The sequence below is a fragment of the Homo sapiens genome, chromosome 7 (genome assembly GCF_000001405.40).
Source record: "Homo sapiens chromosome 7, GRCh38.p14 Primary Assembly".
NCBI classification, from domain to species: domain Eukaryota; kingdom Metazoa; phylum Chordata; class Mammalia; order Primates; family Hominidae; genus Homo; species Homo sapiens.
The window spans coordinates 74,709,183-74,734,303 of NC_000007.14; the positions used below are offsets into that span (position 1 = coordinate 74,709,183).

The 25,121-nt window shown below is 37.7% G+C and overlaps 1 protein-coding gene and 1 long non-coding RNA gene across 7 annotated transcripts in view, besides 2 other annotated features; one reads left to right on the forward strand and one right to left on the reverse strand.

Moving 5' to 3' along the window:
* GTF2I-AS1 (GTF2I antisense RNA 1) overlaps nt 1-19,736 on the reverse strand; it is a 39,982-nt gene extending 20,246 nt beyond the window's left edge. The window contains exons 1-2 of the long non-coding RNA NR_110044.1: nt 19,523-19,736; nt 18,220-18,340 (exon numbers count right to left, since the gene is read on the reverse strand). This is a non-coding gene — a long non-coding RNA (GTF2I antisense RNA 1). The remainder of the gene's footprint in view (nt 1-18,219; nt 18,341-19,522) is intronic.
* GTF2I (general transcription factor IIi) overlaps nt 1-25,121 on the forward strand; it is a 102,975-nt gene that overhangs the window by 51,465 nt on the left and 26,389 nt on the right. Inside the window, exons 9-16 of one of the 6 annotated variants that reach the window (NM_032999.4) lie at nt 1,850-1,927; nt 5,675-5,734; nt 7,712-7,768; nt 9,697-9,759; nt 19,604-19,714; nt 21,047-21,112; nt 23,297-23,480; nt 24,741-24,799. In NM_032999.4, the coding sequence (NP_127492.1) occupies nt 1,850-1,927; nt 5,675-5,734; nt 7,712-7,768; nt 9,697-9,759; nt 19,604-19,714; nt 21,047-21,112; nt 23,297-23,480; nt 24,741-24,799 (678 nt within the window). Of the gene's footprint in view, nt 1-1,849; nt 1,928-5,674; nt 5,735-7,711; nt 7,885-9,696; nt 9,760-19,603; nt 19,715-21,046; nt 21,113-23,296; nt 23,481-24,740; nt 24,800-25,121 lie in introns of those variants that run through there. The other 5 variants (NM_033001.4, NM_001163636.3, NM_033000.4 and 2 more) reach the window with 5 other exon arrangements.
* Nucleotides 24,755-25,121: part of a biological region, named in NCBI's record as "Williams-Beuren syndrome medial block B recombination region", that runs on past the window's edge. NCBI's record gives its function as "recombination_partner: LOC106029311 | LOC106029313".
* Nucleotides 24,755-25,121: part of a non allelic homologous recombination region, noted in NCBI's record as "sub-region SSN1'-SSN3', recombines with sub-region SSN1-SSN3 within the WBS centromeric block B recombination region", that runs on past the window's edge. NCBI's record gives the evidence for it as "EXISTENCE:restriction fragment detection evidence [ECO:0001124][PMID:12796854]".

Sequence of the window (25,121 nt, forward strand, 5' to 3'; positions counted from 1 at the left end):
CATAGTCGCCACAGTCTACGTTTCTGCAGCTTACCAGACTTTTTTTTGGATTTACCTTTTTATTTTTATTTATTTATATTTTTTGAGACAAGGTCTCACTCTGTCGTCCAGACTGGAGTGCAGTCGTGCGATCTCGGCTCACCACAACCTCCGTGTCTCAGATTCAAGCGATTCTCCCACCTCAGCCTCCCGAGCAGCTGGGATTACAGACGTGTGCCACCCAGCCAATTTTTGTATTATTCATTTATTTATTTTAGTAGAGACGGGGTTTAACCATGTTGACCAGGCTGGTCTTGAACTCCTGACCTCAGGTAATCATCCGCCTCAGCCTCCCAAAGTGCTGGGATTATAGGCATTAGCCTCTGCACCCAGCCAGTATGTGTAAGGTTCTTTAGCCAATTGGAGTGACCCAAATTTTTATTCCTGAAGGGTCTGAATCCCCAGTGGATCTGCCTTTTTTGTTAGCTGTAATGCTGTGATTTTCTTTCTTTCTTTATTTTTTTTTTTTGAGACGGAGTCTTGCTGTGTCGCCCAGGCTGGAGTGTAGTGGTACCATCTCCGCTCACTGCAACCTCCACCTCTTGGGTTCAGGTGATCTTTGTGCCTCAGCCTCTCGGGTAGCTGGGACTACAGGTGCGTGCCACCACTCCCGGCTAATTTTTGTATTTTTAGTAGAGACGAGGTTTCACCATGTTGGCCAGGCTGGTCTCGAACTCCTGACCTCAGGTGATTCGCCCGCCTGGACCTCCCAAAGTGCTGGGATTACAGGCACGAGCCACCGCACCTGGCTGTTAGCTGTAATTTTCTATTAACTTTTACTGATGGACATGAAAGTGCTAAGTTAGCCCAGAGAGTTGCAAAGGTCTCAGATGCAGTGTTCTCTGCCACCACTGTGTAGCAGCAAAACACTTTCCCCTTGGTGATTGAAGGCAATGGAGTAACTCCTTTTTTTGCTTGTTGCTTCAGGGATGCATACCCTTTGTATATCAATTTAACTCTCTTTGAGCTCTTTCTCTAGAGTTGAAAATATTCTTTACAAAGTTGCCCAAGTCAGAGCTCACGATTTCGTTTGTGTTAGGGTTGGTATGACTGTGGTTGAATATCTCAGTCTGAAATGTGTATGTGCACCCATGCATTGTTCATTTCTTTTTCTTTTTTTTTGAGAGGGAGTCTCGCCGTGTCACCCAGGCTGGAGTGCAGTGGCACAATTTTGGCCCTTCCCAAAGTCAACTTTTTAATAACATCGATTGCTTTTGCCTATTTTGACCTTCATATGAGTGGAATTACACAACATGTACTCTTTTGTATCTGGCCACAAAGGTCTGCTTCAAATCATCTGTCCTAATTGTGGGCAAAGCTTTATGCAGAAAGGTGTGCTTTGTACCCTTACACAAATCCCTGTAATAAAAGGGATGTATTAGGCAGAAAAAAACCAATGTATCTCATTATTGAAATTGTTGACCATTATGCTATCTCTCCTTTGGAATACTGAGTTATTAAAACTGATGTTTATAAGTGTGTTTCAATGGTTTATAAAAGTATTTTTAATATTAAGTGAAAAGGGAGTGTGGTAAAATTTTCTTTGATTCTAAAGATAAGAATTTGCTGGAGAAAAGAGCAGCACATAATTGCAGAATATTAATAAATGGTTAAAACTTTGCATTGGCTGGGATTATAGTGATTTTTTACCTTCTGCTACCTAGCAAACTTTTGTCTTTTCAAAGACGTAAAGTCTTTACTTAAAATAAATATGCATTGCTGTATTTATAGGGAGGGCAGAGAGGATTTCCCTACACAATCTAGCTGAAAGTTCTCACATGCAATCATATCATTGCATTTGCTTTTCTAGGCATTTCCCTGGAAATGGCAGCTGTGACAGTAAAGGAAGAATCAGAAGATCCTGATTATTATCAATATAACATTCAAGGTAATTTGAATTAATGCAATTTTTCTTTCTAAAAATTATTCGTGGTTAAAATTAAAATTTGCTCATCAATTGCTTTAATTTCTTAAATAATATTTTATTGATCAGTTCTTGATTGACATATATATTGTAATTCAGTCCCGGGGATAAAACATTTAAAAATGGGGCTAAAAGATCAACTCAGACAATCCAGAGGGGATATGTAAAATAGCCATTTGTGTTCTTAAAAGGATGAGCAAAAGTTGTGGCACAATTTAGAATTCAATCCCAGGTTCTAGTGTTGCAAAATAAAACAAACCTATTAGGCAAATGCAGATAATGTCAGCTTAATTTTTTCTCACTGCATAATTATAGTATATTAAACACTTAAAGTAAAAAATCTGGTTAGCTTTGCCATCTACATATCTAATACACCATCTTCATTGCATCCAAGATAATGAAATATCTATAACCCCAAAAGTTTCCTGTGTCCCCTTGTTATTCATTGCCCTGCCCAGTATTCAGGCAACACGGATCTGTTTTCTGTTTTAGGTTAGTTTGCATTTTCTATAAAGTCTTATGAATGAAATAATAAAATGTGGACTATTTTCATGGGCCGGGGAGCAGTGTGGCTTCTTTCATTTCAAATGATTGTTTTGAAATTCATCCACAGCGTTGCACGTATCAGTAGTAGATTCCATTTGATTGTTGATTTGTATTCTATTGTATGCCTGAGTCAAAATTTATTCATTTCTTTGTCTGTTGATAGCCATTTGGGTTCTTCCAGTTTGGGGCCATTACAAATAGAGGTACTATGAACATTGTGTAGAGGCTTTTGTGTGGACATAGGCCTTCATTTCTCTCTTTTTTTTTTTTTTTTTTGAGACAGAGTCTCACTCTGTTGCCCAGGCTGGAGTGCAGTGGCGCGATCTTGGCTCACTGCAACCTCCACCTCCCAGGTTGAGGTGATTCTTCTGCCTCAGCCTCCCGAATAGCTGGGATAGCAGGTGTGTGCCAACACACCTGGCTAATTTTTGTGTTTTTTAGTAGACACAGGGTTTCACCATGTTGGCCAGGCTGGTCTCGAGCTCCTGACCTCAGGTGATCCACCCGCCTTGGCCTCCCAAAGTACTGGGATTACAGGGGCTAACACGCTTTTTTAAAATGAAATATTTAAAACCTAAAAGCATAGTATCAGTCTGCCCAGGTTTAGTGAACCATAGTATTTGTCTCTTCTCTCCTCCCTCCAAGAAACAACGTGTAACTATTTCATTGAAGCCTTTCTTTGGGCTCCCCCAAATCCCCACTTTTCTCTCTATTCTTAAGTTAACCATGATCTTGAAAACTGAGAATTGTCCTTCCTGATGGTGATGTGCTTTACTACGTAAATATTCTCCCGGGAGTGTGTGTGTGTGTGTGTGTGTGTGTGTGTGTGTGTGTGTGTGTGTGTGTCATGTCATATTTATTGTTTTATATATGCCACTTCCTGAGTGAAGCTTACACAGTGGTACACTGTATGTGTTGTTGAGTATAGTCTGTCACTCAATTTAAGTTTTCAAGATTTATCTTTTTTTTTTTTTTTTTGGCGTGGGGGTGGGGATGGATTTTTGCTCTGTCGCCCAAGCTGGAGTGCAGTGGTGAGATCTCGGCTCATTGCAACCTCCGCTTGCCGGGTTCAAGCAATTCTCTGCCTCAGCTGGGATTTATCTGTTTTGTCACAAGTAGATTTAATCATGTCATCATGGTAGTTACACTGTGTGATTATAATACAGTTCGTTTTTTCGTTCTTCTACATAAAGACATTGATGTTTTCTTCTAAAACTTTTGTATTCCAAAATAGGCTTGGATATATTTCTCTGTGCACCTCAGTGCTCCTGTAAAATAGTGACATTCAAATGTGAGTGTTGGGAATGTGTTGATTTTCTCAATGAGTGGTAGGCACCTCAAGCATTTGAGAGGTGGAGGTTAAGTATGTTTTAGGGTGAATAAAATCAAGTACCATTTTTAGGGTGAATAAAATTCAAATATGGGACATTAAAATAATTTGAAAGTATAGTGATACGTGAAGGTATTTTGAGTAAATACCAACTAAAAAAAATATAGTTTAGCAATATTGGAAGCCAAAAACAGTAGTAGCAGGATAGAATAAGACTATGTCGTATTTAAAGGAATTGGTCACTAAGTTGATATAACAACCATTAGTTTGTATGTGCCTAACTATGTATCCTCACAGTAAAAGTAAAAATTATTTACAAATTATAAGTCTCTATAGATATGTACAGTCATGTGGGAGATTTTAACCAATGATATACGTCTAGCTGATGAATACTCTTTTAACATTTATATGCTAAATAGAATATTTTCACTACAGTTAATATATGTAAGCTAACTATAGAAAACTGTGTACCCAAGAAATAAGTTTATTTACAAAGCATGAATCATTTATAAAAATTGACTGTATACTTGTTCACAGTCTTAATAAATTCTCTGAACATACTGAAATTAAATTATTAATAGAAAACATACACAGTGGGAATCCTAGGAAACATGCTTGTAATTGACTTAATGAGGGCCTCATTAAAAATATTTAGACCAGAATATTGAGAATGCCACATAGTTAAACTTGTGAAGAGCAACTAAAGCAGTACTTAGAGGTCAATTAGTAGCCTTCACTAAGGTTGCATTTTTAAATCCTGTAAATAGCACATCTTCCTTTTCTTGAGCTCTGTATATTTTACTCAGAGTCAGAAGACTAGGAAGCAGTGGATCTAGCATTTGAATTTAGGAGTCTACATTCCAAGACTTGCTCTTCTTTGAGATTCCAAATAGAAACTATTTCTTTATTTCTCATGCAATTGATTTTTTTCTCTGATGTGTCCTTTGCCTGTAATGTGTAGTGTGGTGCATCTTTGTGAAATTTCTTAGGCTTTAGAGAATGAAGCCTTTCAAACAACTTCGGATGTTTTCCCAATTCTCTTCAGAGATAGTTAACTGAACTGTGGTCATATTAATGCCAAAATGTGTTTTATATTAAATAGCCATTGAAAACACAATGTTTTGTTTTCTATTTTAAAACTATTATTATTTTAATCATTAAAAAGTTTGATGATAACATGTAAATGTGTTGTCAAAATATAGCAGTTTGTGAAGTTGAATTTAACTCAGAGTACTTTCTGTGTTTTGGAAAGAACCTTATTAGAAAAAGTGCCCGCTGTGCTGGAAGAAAGGGAGAATGAATTAATAGCTGTTAGTTTGTCACATTTCTATTTCAGTAGAGATTCAAGGAGATGGTTTACGTTATTTTAGAGATTCTAAGGAAGGTATATAACATTTGGTTCTGCATTTTTCTTCAGTATGACAAAAGAGTAAGCAAATATTTGCCAAAGAAGAAACAAATAAACCTGTGAGATAAACCTGCATTTGTAATCTGTATGAAGTAAAAGTTACAGTTTACTGTTATGAACATTGTACTGTTTTAAAAAACCCACATCTTCCATTTTAGACATACCATTCCCATTCAATCCATATGTCCAGTCATCTTCAAAATTTCTTTTGACTGTTTACATATGAATTCACCTGATTACATTTTTCCATTCACCAAGACCATAAATTGACATTGCTCATCTTGTCAGTCTTTTTTTTTTTTAATTTTTTTCTTTTTATTTATAAAAAGGCCATTCCATGTATCTCACCCAAATTTGTTGACTAAAGTCACCCCACATTTTTTTTTGGGGGGGATTACTTTTGAAGTATTATCTTTGTATCCCAAAGCAGGCCCTTCTGAAACTGATGATGTTGATGAAAAACAGCCCCTATCGAAGCCTTTGCAAGGTATAATCTTTTCACTTCCATTCTCCCACATACTGCTTGTGTTTAATGTTTCCTTATATTGCACAGACTGTGTTTTAATATTTATAAGTACAGTATTACTTTTCTAAATGGAAAAGGAAAAAAATGTATTGGCCTTTTTTTAACATATAAATGAACTTCACAAGCAACAATTTTTCAAAAATCAATTTTCCCTTTTGTGAATCTAGTAATGAATCTCGAAATGGGTACATGACACACTTTCCTATTGAAGGTAAAGTACACATTTATACCTTATCTCAGAACAGTCAGAAGCCAGGTTACTGTTTTATTGGTTAGTGATGCAAATATTGATAAGGTCAGGTTGATACTTAGTATTTAGAAGAATTCTGAAATAGCACTTGTTAATCTGTAAGTTTCGAATTGATTGCCTTTTTGGCAATTTTTTACAGTGTTCCCAAACTTGATACTCATAGGCTATTAGTAATGGCATTTACTTCTATCTATTCTGGCTTTGAGTGCATAAGATGTATTTTCTTTAGGCTTAGCATATAATGTAAATGTAATTGTTTATTTCAGATTTTAAAAGACATACAGAATTATTGCTTACACGAACAATCATCTTAACTGTTATTCTTTGCTGAAATTTTACTTTTTACCTACTGGCCTCATCATTTCACTCTCATTCCTTTGACCTCACATCTCTTTTTTCTTTGACTTTTACAGTCAAATAACTTAATGCTCCATAAATTCAAATATTAAGATTAAAAAAAGAGAAAGGAAGTGTGTAGAGAAAGCATATTTTAAAAATGAATTAAAGAGTGACTCATAGGTATAGGTTTGTAGATTTACCTAGAGTTTGAGTTCAGGTGAGTTTTCACAATATAAAGTAAGTGGAAAAGAATCCCCAGATAATTGTGACATGCTAAAGCTAGATACTGAGAACCAAAAAGATGTGACCTCAGTATGGGACTTTTAATTCAAGGATATTAGCTACCAAATGACAGTTTTTCAGACCGTAAGCATTGCTTTTTAAAAATCAAGATAAAATACATTTATAACATATCTTACTTTTAGTATAGCTTCTGAATTTAGTTCTCAATAGATAAGACAAAAGAGATGAACATCTGCTTCCTTTCCCCTCAAGCGATGTATTCTTACTAATAGGTAATATGTTTTTTTTTGGTACTTAAAGGCAGTGTTTTTCAATCTTTTCCATGTTAGTAGCTCAGATCTTTAAGGACAGAGGATACAAATTAGGGGGCAGCTTGCGTTCTTAATCCTAAGTGGCTCTCTGATGTCTTAGATTCTTCCTTTCCTTTTTGTGAGTAAAACTTCTGCTCTAGTAGGATGAGCCTGTTCACCTTGTGACTGCCTAACTGATCATTGCTTTATGTTCCAGTTTTTAGAAGCAGGCAGATTATATTACCTGACTTAAAATGCTTTTGAGACTAAAGGTAGTATCTTAAATTTTAACTTACGAGTTTCCTTTAAGTACAACTTTGATGAAATTATGGGGATTGAGTTTCCATGGCTTTCACCATAGTGAAAATGGAAAGCATGAAACATTCCACAGCAAACCCTGAACTTATTTATAGGGAGTTAATTAAGTGTCTGATCACAGCAAGCATTTACTCTGATCTGTTTGTGTATGTGTGTCTTTGACAGATGAGCATGGTACTTGAAGCATAATTCTGCTTCCTCAGATTCCAATATCTAGTAATTTTATCATGTAGTTATAGTAACTAATATTAAATCCCCAAACCTACTTAGGTCTACTCTGTATTTGTGTTTTCAAATAATTTTTTTAGCTTCCAAATAGAAGCGTTGTATTCTTTTCTGAATTAGAAAACATTGTTCGACTTAACTGCTAAAGAGTTAGACAATCATTTTGCATATGTTTATTATGTCTTAGATTGTTTGCATTGTTACCTAGATTCTCTTTCATCTTTCAATGTCAGTTTTTATTGGTTTATTATATGTTGTTTATTTTCTTTTTAGGAAGCCACCATTCTTCAGAGGGCAATGAAGGCACAGAAATGGAAGTACCAGCAGAAGGTTAGGAGAAAAAGAGATTGCATATTTTCCACTATTTGTTGTATGTTTATTCTATTTTATAGATTCTATTATCCTTAAAACACCTTATTTGGAAATAAAAGGTGATTCCCTTGGTATGCCTTCCTAGCCAACAGGTTATTATTTTTTTAAAAATTCTAAGATGTAATATACTTCTTTGACCATACTGATTAATAAAGCCTATGGGAATGAAACTAAGTGGTAAGTAAAGCTCTTACATGATGCAAAATGCTACTTTTTTTTTTGTCCTGGTTTTCTTGTGCCATATTAAATATCTTTTAAGGAAGAATAGCTTCAGTGTTTCAGAATTAAAATTACTAGCTCCATTCATATTTTATTTTCAAATGTATTTTTTAATACTTCTAGTCTCTTAGTAGGGTAGGAATTTAGTCTACATAAAATTTATACAGGAGAGAGTTTCTCCCTTTATTTTGTACTCACAACTACTCCATAAATGACTTTGTCAGTTTACCAGCTCTACAGCTTTGGTTTTAGAATTGAACGCCTGACTGAGGTACAGTTCTTTTTGTTTAGAATCCTGAGTTCAACTTATCATGTAGGGTGGCTTCTTATTTCCAAGGTGTTTAAACGGTTCCACACAAATTTTTGTAGATTTCTCCCAAGGAAAATGACTGGTAAGGTAACTGAATCTTGTTTTAGAATTATTTCTCTCATAAATTGGTCATGTTATCCCTTATTTTTCTAGAATGAAAAGAGGAGTCTGTTGTGTAACTGCTTATATTCCATTGTATTTACATTTTTATTTTAATTAAAAAAAAACATTTGTTTGATCTTTTACCTTCTTTGAGGGAAAGGCAATCTTAAAAGTTCCCCAGTATAGGCTGGTTTCTCCAAATTCAATTATAGAATTAGGGTTTCTCCCTGGAATACATTTCTCTCAAAAATACTGATATGCTCATTGTAAACCGTTGGTTACATTTCCCTGTCAGCCCTTTTTATAGAAGATTGTGTGGGTGAATGTTGTATGCTTTACTGTGTGGAGGTGGGTATCTTCTGAGTGACAGAGTTTTCAGCTTTGAATAGGCGGGATTTAGAACAACAAGACCTAGGTAATAGATCATGTGCAGTACGAGGGCTCATTGGGCAGTACCGATGGCTCACCGCCTTGCAGCCCCGCCGGCAGGTACTGCACCTTGAAGACTGCGTTTTTAGGACATTTTTACTGTCATATTCCAGTGTTAACAAAGTTGAATCGAATCTGGGTTCTGGCCTTTATTCCTTTACTAACAAGTAAACATAATCTTTGGCAAATCAATTAATCTCTCAACCTTTGCACAATGAAAGAGAACTAATGAAAATACTCTATAAGCTTCTAGCACTAACACTCTGATGTACATTTGTCTTGTGTAGGAACAAATATGAATGAACTTTGTAATTTTTGAAATATGTTGCATACAAAGCCAGAGGATATAGTCTTGTGTGCACTTGTGACACTCAGTCTCTTGATAGGAAAGTCTCCATTGTAAAGCCTGGGTTGTGGTTTTATTGAACAGTAGAAACCACTCCTCACATTTCTGAAAGGAGAGAAGAAATTCTAACCAAAGTAGAAAGCATTTGTTTCTATCCGAGCATCTTCTAGCTGTGGCAGGAAATTCATTGTGACTTTGTCATATCCTCATTCCTCCAAGACTATGGGATTTTTTTGAGTCAATTTCTGCAGGTAACATGTTATCATCTAAATTTTTCCAGAGTTTTTCTAATTTTTGTTTTCTTTTATCCCTATTTATAATGACAAGGGTCAAATTTTAATTTCATTAATATGAAATGAATGAAAATGCCAGTGGATTTTTATAGTAGGCTGCTTTTGGAGTATCAAATCAGTAAAATGTTGGAACATATGGAAACATGCTTAATAATGAATGTCATTTTAGAATTTTATTTTTTTCAAGATTCTACTCAACATGTCCCTTCAGAAACAAGTGAGGACCCTGAAGTTGAGGTGACTATTGAAGGTTAGTTATCTAAAAGCCTTGATTCCAAAGTTTACTTCTGGTCATAAAAATACTTGTCACATTCACATTGCTAAATATGCATTTCATTCATTTTTAAAGGAGACTTGTGGGACGAATACATGTGTCTGTGTGGCCAAAGCAGCCCACTCCCCAGTGCTTTGGGAGTTTTAGATGACAGAATGAGGCCGTGAGAATTAGCATTGGCCCACGGGTGGCCCAAGCTATCCTTGCTATCAGTGGGAGTTGAAAAGAGAAAAAGAAAATTATGACCAGACTTGATACACACAAAAACAGATTCTATAATCTATTGGGTTGTGATAGAAGAAGACTTATTTGGAGCTGGAATCCCTAATTTCTAATTAAGTAAAGTGGAGGAGAAAGTGTTGATAGTTTAGTGAGTAATTTTTAAAGCAAGTCCCTGCCCCCTTCAACGACCCGCAAATACTACTTAGAGGCTGACATACAATTTATCTTTCAAAACTGTTTTGAAGCAATAGCTACAAATATATTCTACAATACTCTCTATAGCTAAGATTGCTTCAAACCTGTTTTTTTCTCCAAAGATAAGCTTGAACTCAGCTGAGCCAGTTTATCCTGAATTATTTGAAAATTCAGCTAATAGAATTATTAACTATCACTTCATATTAATAGTTATTAAATGAGCATTGCGTTTTTCCTTTTAAATTAATGTCTCACAGCTGGGCACGGTGGCTCACACCTGTAATCCCAGCACTTTGGGAGGCCAAGGTAGGCAGATCACCTGAGGTCGGGAGCTCAAGACCAGCCTGACCAGCATGGTGAAACGCCCATCTCTACTAAAAATACAAAACTAGCTGGGTGTGGTGGTGCATGCCTGTAATCCCAGCCACTTGGGAGGCTGAGGCAGGAGAATCGCTTGAACCCTGGAGGCAGAGGTTGTAGTGTGCTGAGTTCACGCCATTGCACTACAGCCTGGGCGACAGAGTGAAACTCCATCTCAAAAAAAAAATTAAAATTAAAATTAATGTGTCACAATACTTGTGTAAGTTTCTTCCCCTGAAAGTACTTCTTTCTTGTGGTAAAATGTGAAAATGGTACAGTAAATTGTACAGTGGAAAGTTTTCTTCACCCTCACTCTGCTCCCAAGTCCCAATACTGAGGGATGTATGCCAGCTTATTGTGTCTACTTAGAGAAATAATTGCAGTACATATCTTGATGCGAAAATACACAGATGCTTTCAGCATACATTACAATGCACATTTTAAAATATTACATATTCCATAGGCCTCCCCCTCCCATAACTGCACATCTTGGTACTTTATTAGTTTTTTTTTCTAGCTGCTGCGTAACCTTTCTTGGTTTGCTGTCTGTCTCTCTTTCTCTCTTAATAACCTGTCACCTACTGATGTCACTTGGTTATTTCTAGTGTTTGACTACTCCAAACTACTCAACGTGTCTGTCTTCATTGCTTCTAAAATATAAGTCAATTAGTAGCTTCCACTTAATACAAGAAATCTTTTCATACTTCATGTGTTAACTTAATATACAGATTTCTTTTTTCATAAATATAATTTTTCTAATCTAAAACATTTTGCATTGTTTACAGTCCAGCATTAAATGGTTGAAATTTAATTCGTTTTTAGTGAGAAACCTCATTAACAGGAAAAAAACTTAAGAACATACAAATATTACAACTACTCAGCTGTGCCCTTTCTATGGAGATATTAATAGGAGGTTATTAAAATTATAAAAATAAAGCTTTTAGGGTAGGACTAATAACCATTTTGATTTGTCAAATCTTAAAGCAGATAGAAGCTGTATTTTTTTTTTTTTTTTTTTGAGACAGAGTCTGGCTCTGTCGCCCAGGCTGGAGTGCAGTGGTGCGATCTCGGCTCACTGCAAGCTCTGCCTTCCTGGTTCACGCCATTCTCCTGTAGAGGCTGTATTAAAATGGTTTAGAATGTAAATACTTGCTTTTATAGTATAAGACTTTTAAAGAAAGGTTACGAAAATCCAGAAATAAATGGCTCATGAACCTGAAGCTTATGTCAGCCTTTTGAACTTTAACTGTTTTGGATGGAGTAATAAATCTCTTTTCTTTTCATTTATTTGTTTATTTATTTATTTATTTGTTTTTGAGATGGAGTTTCACTCTTGTTGCCTAGGCTGGAGTGCATTGGCGCTATCTCGGCTCACCGCAACCTCCGCCTCGCAGGTTCAAGCGATTCTCCTGCCTCAGCCTCCTGAGTAGCTGGGATTACAGGCATGCGCCGCCATGCTCGGCTAATTTTGTATTTTTAATAGAGACAGGGTTTCTCCATCTTGGTCAGGCTGGTCTCGAACTCCTGACCTCAGGTGATCTGCCCACCTCGGCTTCCCAAAGTGCTGGGATTACAGGCATGAGCCACCGCACCTGGCCATTCATTTCTTTTAAACTAAGACATTGTGCCATAAGCCTGATTTAATGTTCACATTTGTGATTAAGTAGTAGAATTTTGCTAGTAGACCTCTTTCTTTTCAGAAGACCAGTGAAATACCAGGTCTGAGTAAAGTAATCCTTTTAAAAGGTAGCATTTTCCATGTCATATGTGCATATACACACACACATTTTATGTATTATATATAAAAAATATGTATATTATATAGAAATTACATCAACAATTAAATTCCTCATTTTTTTAAGAAGATAAAAAACTGTCTCAATATTAACAAGGAAGGTCAAGTGAGAACTTACATGCACACCTCTGGTTAATAATGTGTATCATATATTCTTTCTGGAAAGATTACTTCCAAATGGTAGGAGCTATTTAGATACCCGTAGTTAGGAAATAAAATTTTGGTATATCTTCATAACAGAAAAATATATAGCCATTGAAATCCTGATAATGTTTTCCAATAATCTGAAAAAAGATCTCTAATATAAAATGTTCAGTGGAAAAAAAAAAAATCCTGCCTTGAGAACAAGGCAACTTGAAAAGCAAAAGTGCATCTAGAGGATAATCTTAGTTTTGTTTTGGAAAATACTCATGCTTGGTAGGAAGACGGACAAAAATAAACTGAGATATTCCTGCTTGCTTGGAGACGACTTAATTTTCTCCTTTTATATCTTTTCACATTTCCCAAATCATTGGTAGAAAAAAAAACAGAACTTTGTTATCAAATAAGTCTGTCCGATTTTTCACAGTGTTTTCACCTCGATATCTTCATTTGCAATTATGTGGAGTTCTGAAGTGGCTAATTTGACACCGACGCGGACGTGTTTGTGGATACAGGGTCATTACTTACCCACTGCCGGTGCGCTCTGAGCTGTGCACTTCCATTTGTGGCGTTTTATTTGTACTTGGAGTCGGTGGTAAACATTTAAAACATACGTGACTTAGGTTTGGGAAATCGGCCTTGGACTAATAGGACCGCATGCCTCAGTTTTCGTAAACACCGTGACTACATTTCTGGGTTAAGGTGAATTGCCGTCAGGTATGTTATCTCTAATGTGTGCAGAGAAAACCTTATCAGACTTGTTTCAGGTCTAGCTGTCATGGGAGTGCTAAGAACCGTGTAAAGGAGGTTTCTTTCTTGCGCAGTTCTCTCTTAGGGCCTAGCTTCCCAAACCTGAGTCACTTACCTGTTACCTGTGTTCCTTCTGCTGTGGCCTAACTCTCTGTTCATTACTTAACCTGATTTTTTTCCCTTAAATTGATTTTAAGTAAATTCATTTTGTGATGAATTTTACGTCTTCCTAAGTCAAACTCTGGCTTTTTTATTTCTCATATTTTGAAAGGTATATGTAAATAATTTCAAATATAATTGACTCACATGACCACACGTGGCACACTTACTGCAGCTGGTACTGTAGGTTTTTTAGGATCTCTGTAATTGAGGAGGTTAGCGTTGGAAAACTTCTGTGTTTTTTATTTTTATAGCTGCCAATCAGACACTTAATGAATACACAATTATATATGTAAAAAAAGGAGTCTCAGAGGAATTATGTACTAAGATTTGAATAATACGTTTTTAGAGTTTCAGTATTTTAGTAGGGTTTATGATGGGCAGTTGGACTACCTACCATCCCTTTCTTGTGGAATTTATGTTTAAGATAGTGCCAGATACTTGACTGCAGCATATAATTAGGGACTAAACTATTCATATGTTCATTTAATCCCTCCACAAATACTGAGCACATTGTATGTACCAGGTGCTAAGAGTTTTTTTTTTTTTTTTTTGAGACGGAGTTTCGCTCTGTCGCCCAGGCTGGAGTGCAGTGGCGCAATCTCGGCTCACTGCATCCCCTGCCTCCCAGGTTTAAGCAGTTCTCTGCCTCAGCCTTCCTCCGAGTAGCTGGGATTATAGGCGCCCGCCACCATGCCTGGCTAATTTTTTTTGTATTTTTAGTAGAGACGGGGTTTCACCATTTTGGCCAGGGTGATCTTGAACTCCTGACCTCGTGATCCGCCCACCTCACCCTCCCAAAGAGCTGGGATTACAGGCATAAGCCACCGCTCCCGGCCTCTTTTTTTTTTTTTTTTTTTTAAGACGGAGTCTTGCTCTGTTGCCCAGGCTGGAGTACAGTGACCTGATCTCGGTTCTCCGCAGCCTCCGCCTCCTGGGTTCAAGTGATTCTCCTGCCTCAGCCTCTGGAGTAGCTGGAACTACAGGCACACGCCACCATGTCCAGCCAATATTTTACTTTTAGTACAGACAGGGGTTTCACCATGTTGGCCAGGCTGGTCTTGAACTCCTTACCTCAGGTGATCCACCCGCCTCGGCCTCCCAAAGTGCTAGGATTACAGGCATGAACCACCGCGCCTGGCCACGGTGCTAAGAATTTAGTAGTGAATAATTCAGTGGCAAATCCTCGGGAGTGTTTTGCAAATAAGAGTGACACTTTTTGTCCTTCACTTCTAGGAAACGTGGTGACTATGTTGAGAAAAGGGGGAAAAAAAAAAAAAGAGAAGACCTAGAGCAGTCAATAGTTTTTTGACAGAAAACTAGCTTGGGAGCCTCTTGGAACTACCTAGGGCACAGAGAAGAGTGCTTTAGAGCAGGTTGGTGGCAGGGGAGATAAGAAGTTGTTGATTCTGGGGAGATTTTGAAGACAAAGCCACCAGGCTTTGCTGTTTATTGTTTAATTCTTGTATTTTCTTAAATGTCTCTGCAGCACTTTTAAAATGGACATAATTGCTTAGGTTAGCACTTGAACACTTTGTTTTAAATTTTTTTTATTGCTGCCAAATAGTCATTTAATAAATACCCAATTGTTTATGTAAAGAGTTTTAGAGGAGCTATAAGTGGTATCCATGGGTGAAAGAATGAATCCATTTATTTGAAATGTATAGGGTAATTAATGGCTCCAGTTTTGAAATAGATATATTACCTGGTGTTGATTGTTTTTTTAACTTTGAATAGATGTCAGATTGTATGATAACACATTCCCAGTCTGATTATGTTGAAGCTAAGAGTATCAGAACATATTGTAACATAGTCTATTTATTGATTCACCGGCCAGAATGCAGTGATAAACAGCTTTAGCTCTGAAGCCTGTATTATCTTTAGGTGTATTCGTTAATATGTTGCAAAAAGGAAGTTGGTGTTTTCTAAACACAAATTTTGAGTTAGGGACGGTGTTGCCAACTTGAAGGTATTGGCGGAGTGCTTTTGTTAGTGTGGGTAGCATAACTATTGTAAATTCATGAATAGCACCTTTTGCATATTAAAATATCTTAAAATGGGCCAGGTGTGGTGGTGTAATCCCAGCACTTTGGAAGACCGAGGTGGGTGGATCACCTGAGGTCAGGAGTTTGAGACCAGCCTGACCAACATGGTGAAATTCCATCTCTACTAAAAATATAAAAATTAGCTGGGCGTGGTGGTGGGCGCCTGTAATCCCAGCTACTCTGGAGGCTGAGGCAGGAGAATTGCTTGAACCCAGGAAGTGGAGATTGCAGTGAGCCAAGATCGTGCCACTGCCCACTGCACTCCCAGCCTGGGTGACAGAGCAAGACTCCATCTCAAAAAATAAAATAAAATATCTTAAAATGTATTTTAAAAGCTTTACATTTTGATTATGGAAACAGAGTTTGGGCTTGAATTTGAAGCATGCTGAAACGTGTGTCTTGTTAAACAAAAATGGTTGTTTATACTTTGGAAACGGCAGATAATTGGAAGAGCAATGCCCAGTATGTGAGGGCAGGCCCTAGAGCTTTAGTTGATGTTTTATGCTTCAGAGTAAAAAGTAATTTTGATCCTTTGTGGAAAGGATTTTAGGTCGAGAAACCCATTTTTTTTCTTACTTTCTCAAAACCAATTAATTGCAACAAAGAGTTAATTGCAGAAAAAATTGAGGATGTGGTGAAGTTTATAGCTGTTCTGATGCCTGAATGCCATGTTCCATATGACTTAAAACACCCAAAGATTAATTAATAAGTTTATGAAACAGGGTTTTTAAAATAGAATATATGGTGTGATATTTTATCAATAACTACATCCAGCTGGGTGCGGTGGCTCACACCTATAATCCCAGCACTTTAGGAGGCCAAGGCAGGAGGATCACTTGAGGCCAGGAGTTCAAGACCAACCTGGGCAACATAGGGGGACCCCTATCTCTACAAAAGTTAAAAAAAAAAAAATTAGCTGGGCGTGGTGGTGCAGGCCTGTAGTCCCAGCTATTTGGGAGGCTGAGGTGGGAGGATCACCTGAGCCTGGGAAGTCGAGGCTGCAGTGAGTGGTGCTCCAGCCTGGGTGAAGGAGGGAGACCCTGTCTTAAAAAATAAAGTAACTACATTCATCTCTATATATGTTCACATTTAACAGATTGAACTTTATTATTTGTCAGTGAAGAGGAAAATGTGATATCCCTGATATTTTCAATATTTTACAGTCTTTGTTGTATTAAAAAAGCACTCTAGTAGATTTGCCTTTTTCTCTTTCTTTTTTTTTTTTTGGTTTATGATCGATTGGGTTACCTTCATAAAATATATTTATGCTATTAAATCTATTGTGGTCTAAAATGTTTGTGTGACTGAAAAAGTGAAGTCTTTTCAGTAAGGAAAACCTGTCTTCCCTTCCCCTGGGCCTCAGCTGTGAAGTTTGGATTTGGACTGAGATCCATGGGATGGAGCTCCACAGGTGTCCCTTCCATTCCATCTACAGCTGTGTTTCCTTTCTCATGTCATTCTACTCTAGCAGCTTTCAGTTTATGTCACTCAATGAATAGTCAGCTTAAATGATGATCTATAAGGATACTTAGGAGACCTTAACCTATAGGGGAAATACTTTTATTTTAGAAGTTACTGCTTAATGTTTGTAAAAAAATATATAGTAATATTAAGCATTTATAATGCTTTGACAGTATTCATAGGTGAAATGAGTGTATTTTGTTTTAACCTTTGGAAGCCAGCATAAAAATACTCTTAAGGTTTCTAAAATCTGTTTGGGAGTTGGAAAATCGGGTTTTTTAAAAAGTATATTTTCAGAATTGAGGTCCAAACTTACACACTTCTGTTTTCCAGATTGTTTCTACTTAGGTTGGAACCTTAATCTATTTATAGGGTGTCTTGACCATTTTTAATCCTTACAGTCATACAAACCCAGGTGCCAGTCAAGTTTTATTTCACAGGGAGGTTGTCATTTTAAAATTGTTTTCTGTCCTGGTCCCGTGGCTCATGCCTATAATCTCCGCACTTTGGGAGGCTGAGGCAGAAGGATCACTTGAGGCCAGGAGTTTCAGACCAGCCTGGGCAACATAATGAGACCCTGTCCCTACAAAAAATTAAAAGAAAAATAGCCAGGTGTGTTGGTCCCAGCTATTTGGGAGGCTGAAGCAGGAGAATCATTTGAGGCCAGGAGCTCGAGGTTGCAGTGAGCTATAATCATGCCACTGCCCTCCAGCCTGGGCGATAGAATGAGACCCTCCCGACAGATAGATAGATAGATAGATAGATAGATAGATAGATAGATAGATAGATAGAATGAGACCCTGCCAATAGATAGATAGATAGATAGATAGATAGATAGATAGATAGATAGAAAGAATGAGACCCTGCCGATAGATAGATAGTTTTCTATCAAATTTTTTCCTAGATTTGAACATGTTTTTCTAAAGTAGCATTCAACACATCAGCATTTTATAGCGTCATTAGTTGTTACTATGATTATGTTTTTCTGAAATAGTATCCTTTACAAAAGCACTTCTGTCTTTCTAAGCACATACATAGGTCCTAAAATGAATTTGTCTGATGTTGGTGACCTCGGAACCATTTTCTCCAGTTGATTAGCACGGCCAGCCAGTCAATAATTTCAGGTCACTGTTGGCCTTAGAGGAAGAGCCCAAAGGCAGCAAGCAAGGGTGCTGGTGTCCAGTCGCCTTCTAGAAGCATTTTCACCTTCCCTTAAGATTTCCCTTGATTAACACAGAAGTGTCTATAGAAGTGACCCAGTGCTGCCCCGGGCAACATCGTATATTAGGCCAAATTTGCATTTCTTACCTTTATGAGAAGCACCCTCGTAGTCTAGTGGAGTTACACACACACAGTCTGATCTCAGCTGTGCTCTCCAGAGATACAACATAGTCCAATCAAATAACATCCTCTGAGCCTGTTTCTTTAGCTGTAAAATAAGAATAACAATTATACCCATCTAAAAAGATAGTGTCTTGTACTTGAGTGATCTTTTTTCTATGATACTGTCTTTAACACAATAATTATTTTCTTCACCATACCACATTTGTTTTTAAATAAGAATTTCTTAAAATGATGTTTTCAGTATTTTATAGATGATGTTTGAGCAGCAATATTAATAGCATGTTACCTGACACTTTGAGGGACTAGAAGATGACAGTGGCAGCTGATATGACCCAGATGTCTCTAATCCTAACATGAGGTGTACTGAAGGGTCACAGCAGAGTGAGTTCCTGGTGTATCCACAAGGAAATGAGCACGGAACTCTCACAACAGCGTGTGTGCTGTGCGCTGTGCTTGAATAGCTGACTGCTCCTTTATACACAGCCTCTGTGCTGACTGAATCAACAGTATCTGTTTCATCATAATGCAGCCCTATTTCTTTAAGCCCATACATTTTGCACTTGTTAAAAGTATTTGAACAGGCCAGGCGCGGTGGCTCACACCTGTAATCCCAGCACTCTGGGTGGCCGAGGTGGGTGGATCACTTGAGGCCAGGAGTTTGAGACCAGCCTGGCCAACATGGCGAAACCCCATCTCTATCAAAAAAATACAAAAATTAGCCGGGCGCGGTGGCGGGTGCCTGTAATCCCAGCTACTTCGGAGGCTGAGGCATGAGAATCGCTTGAGCCCAGGAGGTGGAGGTTGCAGTGAGCCAAGATTGCATCACTGAACTCCAGCCTGGGCAACAGAACAATTCTCTGTCTCAAAAACAAAAACAAAAACAAAAACAAAAAAAAACTATTTACCCAATTTCCCTTGCTTATGCATGCTTAAATTTTGTATAAGCTTAAATATCTTTTCCATCTAAGCTGTACTCTATCCCCTTTTATAACTTTAGGTGGCTGTCTTTATTAAAAGTTTTTTCTTGAAAGTCTTAAAACAATATAGTTCTTGGCAATTTGAAAGTTATTTGAGAAGGGGAAATTTATAATGACAATTCAAATGAAGCAAACTAAAAAATAATGAAGAAAGACAGAGGAAAAAGCAGTATTCACTTGAACACATCCCAAACAAAGAAAATTTCAAATGTAACAAGGAAAAAGCCTGCTAAAGCTCACAATACAGAAATAACTATTGATACTCAAAATAGCTTTAAAGCCCTGCTCACCTTTTGAATGTTGGGAATTGACCAGGAGGTGACTGTAACTGTAAGATGGTTCTTCCAGTAATGACCATTTTCTTTTTCAAGATGATGATTATTCTCCACCGTCTAAGAGACCAAAGGCCAATGAGCTACCGCAGCCACCAGTCCCGGAACCCGCCAATGCTGGGAAGCGGAAAGTGAGGGAGTTCAACTTCGGTAAGTTCTCAGCGAACGACGTGACCTTTTCCTTCATCTTCTGGATTCTCAGTGTGACTGATAAATGTTGCAACATGCTCTGCAGGGGGAAAATGCTTTAGCGTCTATTACTGCATCATAATCTCATCTTTGGAAAGCCAGGAGCATTTTGAAAATTACATTACAGACATTGTTTAAACATAGTTTGGATTTACCAAAGCATAGGACATTGTCTTGTCTGATGTTAATTAGTCAGCTCAAGATTAGTGCTAAAGACTTAGTAATTTAGTTATTTCTCTTAGCTTTAAAATCTTTATTTCAGAACTATTTCACCTCTTGGTTTTCTTTTTTTTTTTTTTTGCTCTGTGTTACTGCAGCTGCTAATCTGTGAGCTCTCAATGGATGATGTATCCTAGCAAGGGACTGAATGAGATATTAGCGGCAAATTATGTTGATGATTCATATTTTGAATAAATGGAATATTAAGCTTGTATACATCTTGAAAATAGTACTTTAATATTCTACTGTGTCGTAGTCACAATGATTGGATATGAATTGAATTTTTGTACTTTTTAAATATGTTTTTGTTCTTTATTTTTAATTTTTATTATTATTTTTTTGAGACAGAGTCTTGCTCTGTCACCCAGGTTGGAGTGCAGAGGCACGATCTCAGCTCACAGCAACCTCCGCCTCCCGGGTTCAAGTGATTCTTCTGCCTCAGCCTCCTGAGTAGCTGGGATTACAGGCGCCCACCACCATGCCCAGCTAATTGTTGTATTTTTAGTAGAGATGGGATTTCACCATGTTGGCCAGGCTGGAATCGAACTCCTGACCTCAGGTGATCCGCATGCCTCAGCCTCCCAAAGTGCTGGGATTACAGGCATGAGCCACTGCACTTGGCCTGTTCTTTAGCATTTTAAGTTGCAACTATATATCCGTAAAGTCTTATTTCCACACAACTGAGACATGTTTTAGGAAGTTTGCTAAAAGACCCCTGGAGACCTTTATCGTGGTCTCCCTTTTGTCGTGTTTCATTTGCTTGATCTTTTCTGCCCTCCTGCTTTTCAGAAATTAAAAGGCTAAAAAGAGGTGCTAAATGTTAAAACTTCTCGTGTAGTCTCCCATGAGACTATTAAAAGTAATGGCAAAAGCCACAGTTACTTTTGCACCAACCTACTAATTCTAAGAACCACCAAAAAGGGGAAAGTTCTTGGAAAGCAGTAAAATGATATGGACAGTTGGGATGTAAAAATGTAGAAAATATGTCATTGTATGTTCAGTCATCCCAAGACCCTAGTGCTGCCCCGATGGTAGGGACTTCTTAATGAGAATTAACTTTTGCTCAATTTTCAGAGAAATGGAATGCTCGCATCACTGATCTACGTAAACAAGTTGAAGAATTGTTTGAAAGGAAATATGGTATGTCTAAATAGGAAAATTCCTGTAATACTTTGTTCATGAGCATTTACACAATGGCGTTACTGTTCATCATGGGGGTGATGTGGACAAGCCCAGCCCAGGGCTGCCAGTGAACCGTGCCACACTTTCTTACACGTCTCTCATTGTAAGGTCCTTAGTAGTGTCTGTCTAAATATTAGAAACAGTCTTTGTTTCTAGATTACAGTAAAGCTAAGGAAAAGTTGTATTTCTGTAGTTATCAGCTAACATTTCTTTTAAACTTCCAGCATGGATATTTGGGAATTTATTTACATATTTATTACAAAGCTCTGGATCTTGGGGGTTTCATTAAAAATTATTTTTTTAACTGACAGTTTCTGTTAATCTACTTTGTTAAATCCAGTATTTGCTGAGATCCCCCTATTGTCTCTACTTTTATCTTTTTTTTTTTTTTTTTTTTTTTTTTTGAGACGGAGTCTCTGCATTGCAGTAGTACAATCTCGGCTCATTGCAACCTCCGCCTCCCGGGTTCAAGCAATTCTCCTGGCTCAGTCTCCCAAGCAGCTGGGACTACAGGTGCCCGCCACCATGCCCTGCTAATTTTTGTATTTTTAGTAGAGACAGGGTTTCACCATGTTGGCCAGGCTTGTCTCAAACTCCTGACCTCAAGTGATCCTCCCGCCTTGGCCTCCCAAAGTGCTAGCATTACAGGCGTGAGCCACCCTTCCCGGCCACTGCTTTTATCTTGATGTATAACTGAGTTGATGCTAGATTTCAATTCCTTCTTTGTCCTTTTACTATTCTGTCCTATAGCCACCTTTATATAATGATCAAAGAAATTCGCAATTTGTTATTATCATTTTTATTTTTTATAAAATATTTAAAATGATTTAAAATAAAAATCATTTTATTTTTATCATATTTATTATCATCTGTTATCATTTTTATTTGGATGACTATTTACTTTGCCATTAACTAGCAAGCGGTAAAATTGTATGATATGCAGTTTTAACTGAATTGCTATAAGTGAAAATTTAAATGCAATAAACCATATTGATGGTATTTGTGTTAACAAACTTAAAATGAGCATTTTTTCTTCATCATGAGTAATATAACCTACCCCTCAATGAAAATCTACAATTAGAGTAAATTTGCTAATGAATTCAGTAACTTTTCCATATTTTTAGTGGTTTACTTAAGGTTCTCTTAGTGTTTCTCCCAGTTTTTAATAGCTTACACCTTTTTTGCCCGTGGTTTTTTGTTTTTTGTTTTGTTGTTGTTTTTTTTTTTTTTGAGATAGAGTTTTGCTCTTGTTGCCTAGTCTGGAGTGGCACGATCTTGGCTCACTGTAACCTCTGCCTCCCAGGTTCAAGCAATTCTCCTGTCTGAGCCTCCTGAGTAGTTAAGATTACAGGTGCCCGCCACCATGCCCAGCTAATTTTTGTATTTTTAGTAGAGACAAGGTTTCACCATGTTGGCCAGGCTGGTCTTGAACTCCTAACCTCAGGTGATCCACCCACCTCGGCCTCCCAGAGTGCTGGGATTACAGGCGTGAGCCGCTGCGCCCGGCCTCATGTTTTCTATTGGTTCATTATGAAGCAAAAACTTCATAGCATGTGCTACCTGGAAGCACTGTAACCTAGTGGTAAGATCATAGGCTCTGGGGACACAGTGCCTTGCCACGTCTCTTCTCCTGTCTGAGTCTTAGTATCCTCTTTTGTGGTCATGAGAACTGAAGATCTATCCTGGAGATTGATAAGATAGTAAAGTGCTTCACGTAATACCTGGCATACATGTAATAAATGCTTCCTGTGTGTATATATATACACACATATACATATATATGTATATATACATATACACATATACATATATATATATATATACATAAACACATATACATATATATATAACACAGTGAAACCCCCGTCTCTACTAAAAATACAAAAAATTAGCTGGGCGTGGTGGCGGGCACCTGTAGTCCCAGCTACTCGGGAGGCTGAGGCAGGAGAATGGCGTGAGCCCGGGAGGCAGAGCTTGCAGTGAACCGAGATCACACCACTGCACTGCAGCCTGGGAGACACAGCAAGACTCCATCTCAAAAAAATAAAAAAAAAGTTAAAGAGCACTACAGATTCAATGATTTATTATTCTTTTCTACAAATTGTGTTTAAATGATATCTCTTTCTCTTTTTGTCCTTATAGCTCAAGCCATAAAAGCCAAAGGTCCGGTGACGATCCCGTACCCTCTTTTCCAGTCTCATGTTGAAGATCTTTATGTAGAAGGACTTCCTGAAGGAATTCCTTTTAGAAGGCCATCTACTTACGGAATTCCTCGCCTGGAGAGGATATTACTTGCAAAGGAAAGGATTCGTTTTGTGATTAAGAAGTAAGACTCTTGGATTCCTGTTGAACTCTTGTCTCTTTTCTGAGTAATACGTCTTTTTTATTGTTGACCAATATTCATTCACCACTAGGTTCTATGTGATGAAGTTTGAGTTATTTTATGTATTTTTATCTTGCACTTTTTAATTTATCTGGGTCCAGCATTGCATCAGTCATGCAGTGTTGGCATTCGAAGCATGAACAGTGCCCGCACTGGATTGGCATGCAACTCACATTTTCTTTCACAATTTTCTGCTACTTTTGCTAAAGAACATAGAATCCACGCCTTGTTTTTAGGCCTGATATATATATATATTTTTTTTTTCGAGATGGAGTCTCACACTGGAACCCAGGCTTGAGTGCAGTGTCGCAATCTCAGCTCACTGCAACCTCTGCCTTCCAGGTTCAAGCGATTCTCATGCCTCAGACTCCCGAGTAGCTGAGATTACAGGCGTGCGCCACCATGCCTGGCTAATTTTTGTATTTTTAGTAGAGACGGTGATTCACCATGTTGGCCAGGCTGGTCTTGAACTCCTGACCTCAGATGATCTGCCAACCTCGCCCTCATAGGCCTGAGATTTTTAAAGCATGCGTGGGAATATATGATTGTTTTTATAGATGTGCAGAGGAAGATAGTCTTGAATGCAATATGACATTAAAGGATCCCATTTAAGATTTTTGTAATATGCTTCAAAGACCTGTGGGTTGCAAAGTTACCTCTTTACTTGTGAGGATACATGCTCCATGAAGCACCTTATGAGACAACTTGCAATTATTAGTTTGCTTTTTACTCTGTAGAAACCTCAAATTAAGATTTAGTTGTGGGCTGGGTGTAGTGGCTCACACCTATAATCCCAGCACTTTGGGAGGCCAAGGCGGCTGGATCACCCGAGGTCAGGAGTTCGAGACAAGCCAGGCCAACAATGGTGAAACACTGTCTCTACTAAAAATACAAAAATTGACCAGGTGTGGTGGTGGGCGCCTGGAATCCCAGCTACTTGGGAGGCTGAGGCAGGAGGATTGCTTGAACCCGGGAGGTGGAGGTTGCAGTGAGTCGAGACTGCGCCATTGCACTCCAGCCTGGGAACAAGAGCAAAACTCCGTCTCAGGAAAAAAAAAAAAAAGATTTAGTTGTGCTCAAGCATCCAGATTATCTTTTCTTTTCAAAACCAGCCTTACTGACTAAATGTTAAATATGTACTAGTCGTTATTAGTTTGCTGAATATTACCTAGTGATTATTGAGTATTTATTCTCACCTTTCAGACATGAGCTTCTGAATTCAACACGTGAAGATTTACAGCTTGATAAGCCAGCTTCAGGAGGTAGGTCTTCAATCTCGAGGCAGATCAGAAGATTATGTGCAATAATTATTTCACGCTTAACATTGATTTCTTCTTTATGTTACCTTCCACATGAAATAATATGTCTCTAACTATTAATTATGTGCCATTACAGGAGAATTCATGTTGTCAAAATTCTAATAATTTCTAGAAGAATAAACGCATCTTCTTTTTATTAACCCATTGTAAATACTTATAAATATTGCATTTATGGGTAGACAGAAGTAAAAGAACAATATTTGTTCTACTTTTGATGCAAGATTTATCTGGCATAATGCATTGAACAGTTTATTATTGAAGTCTA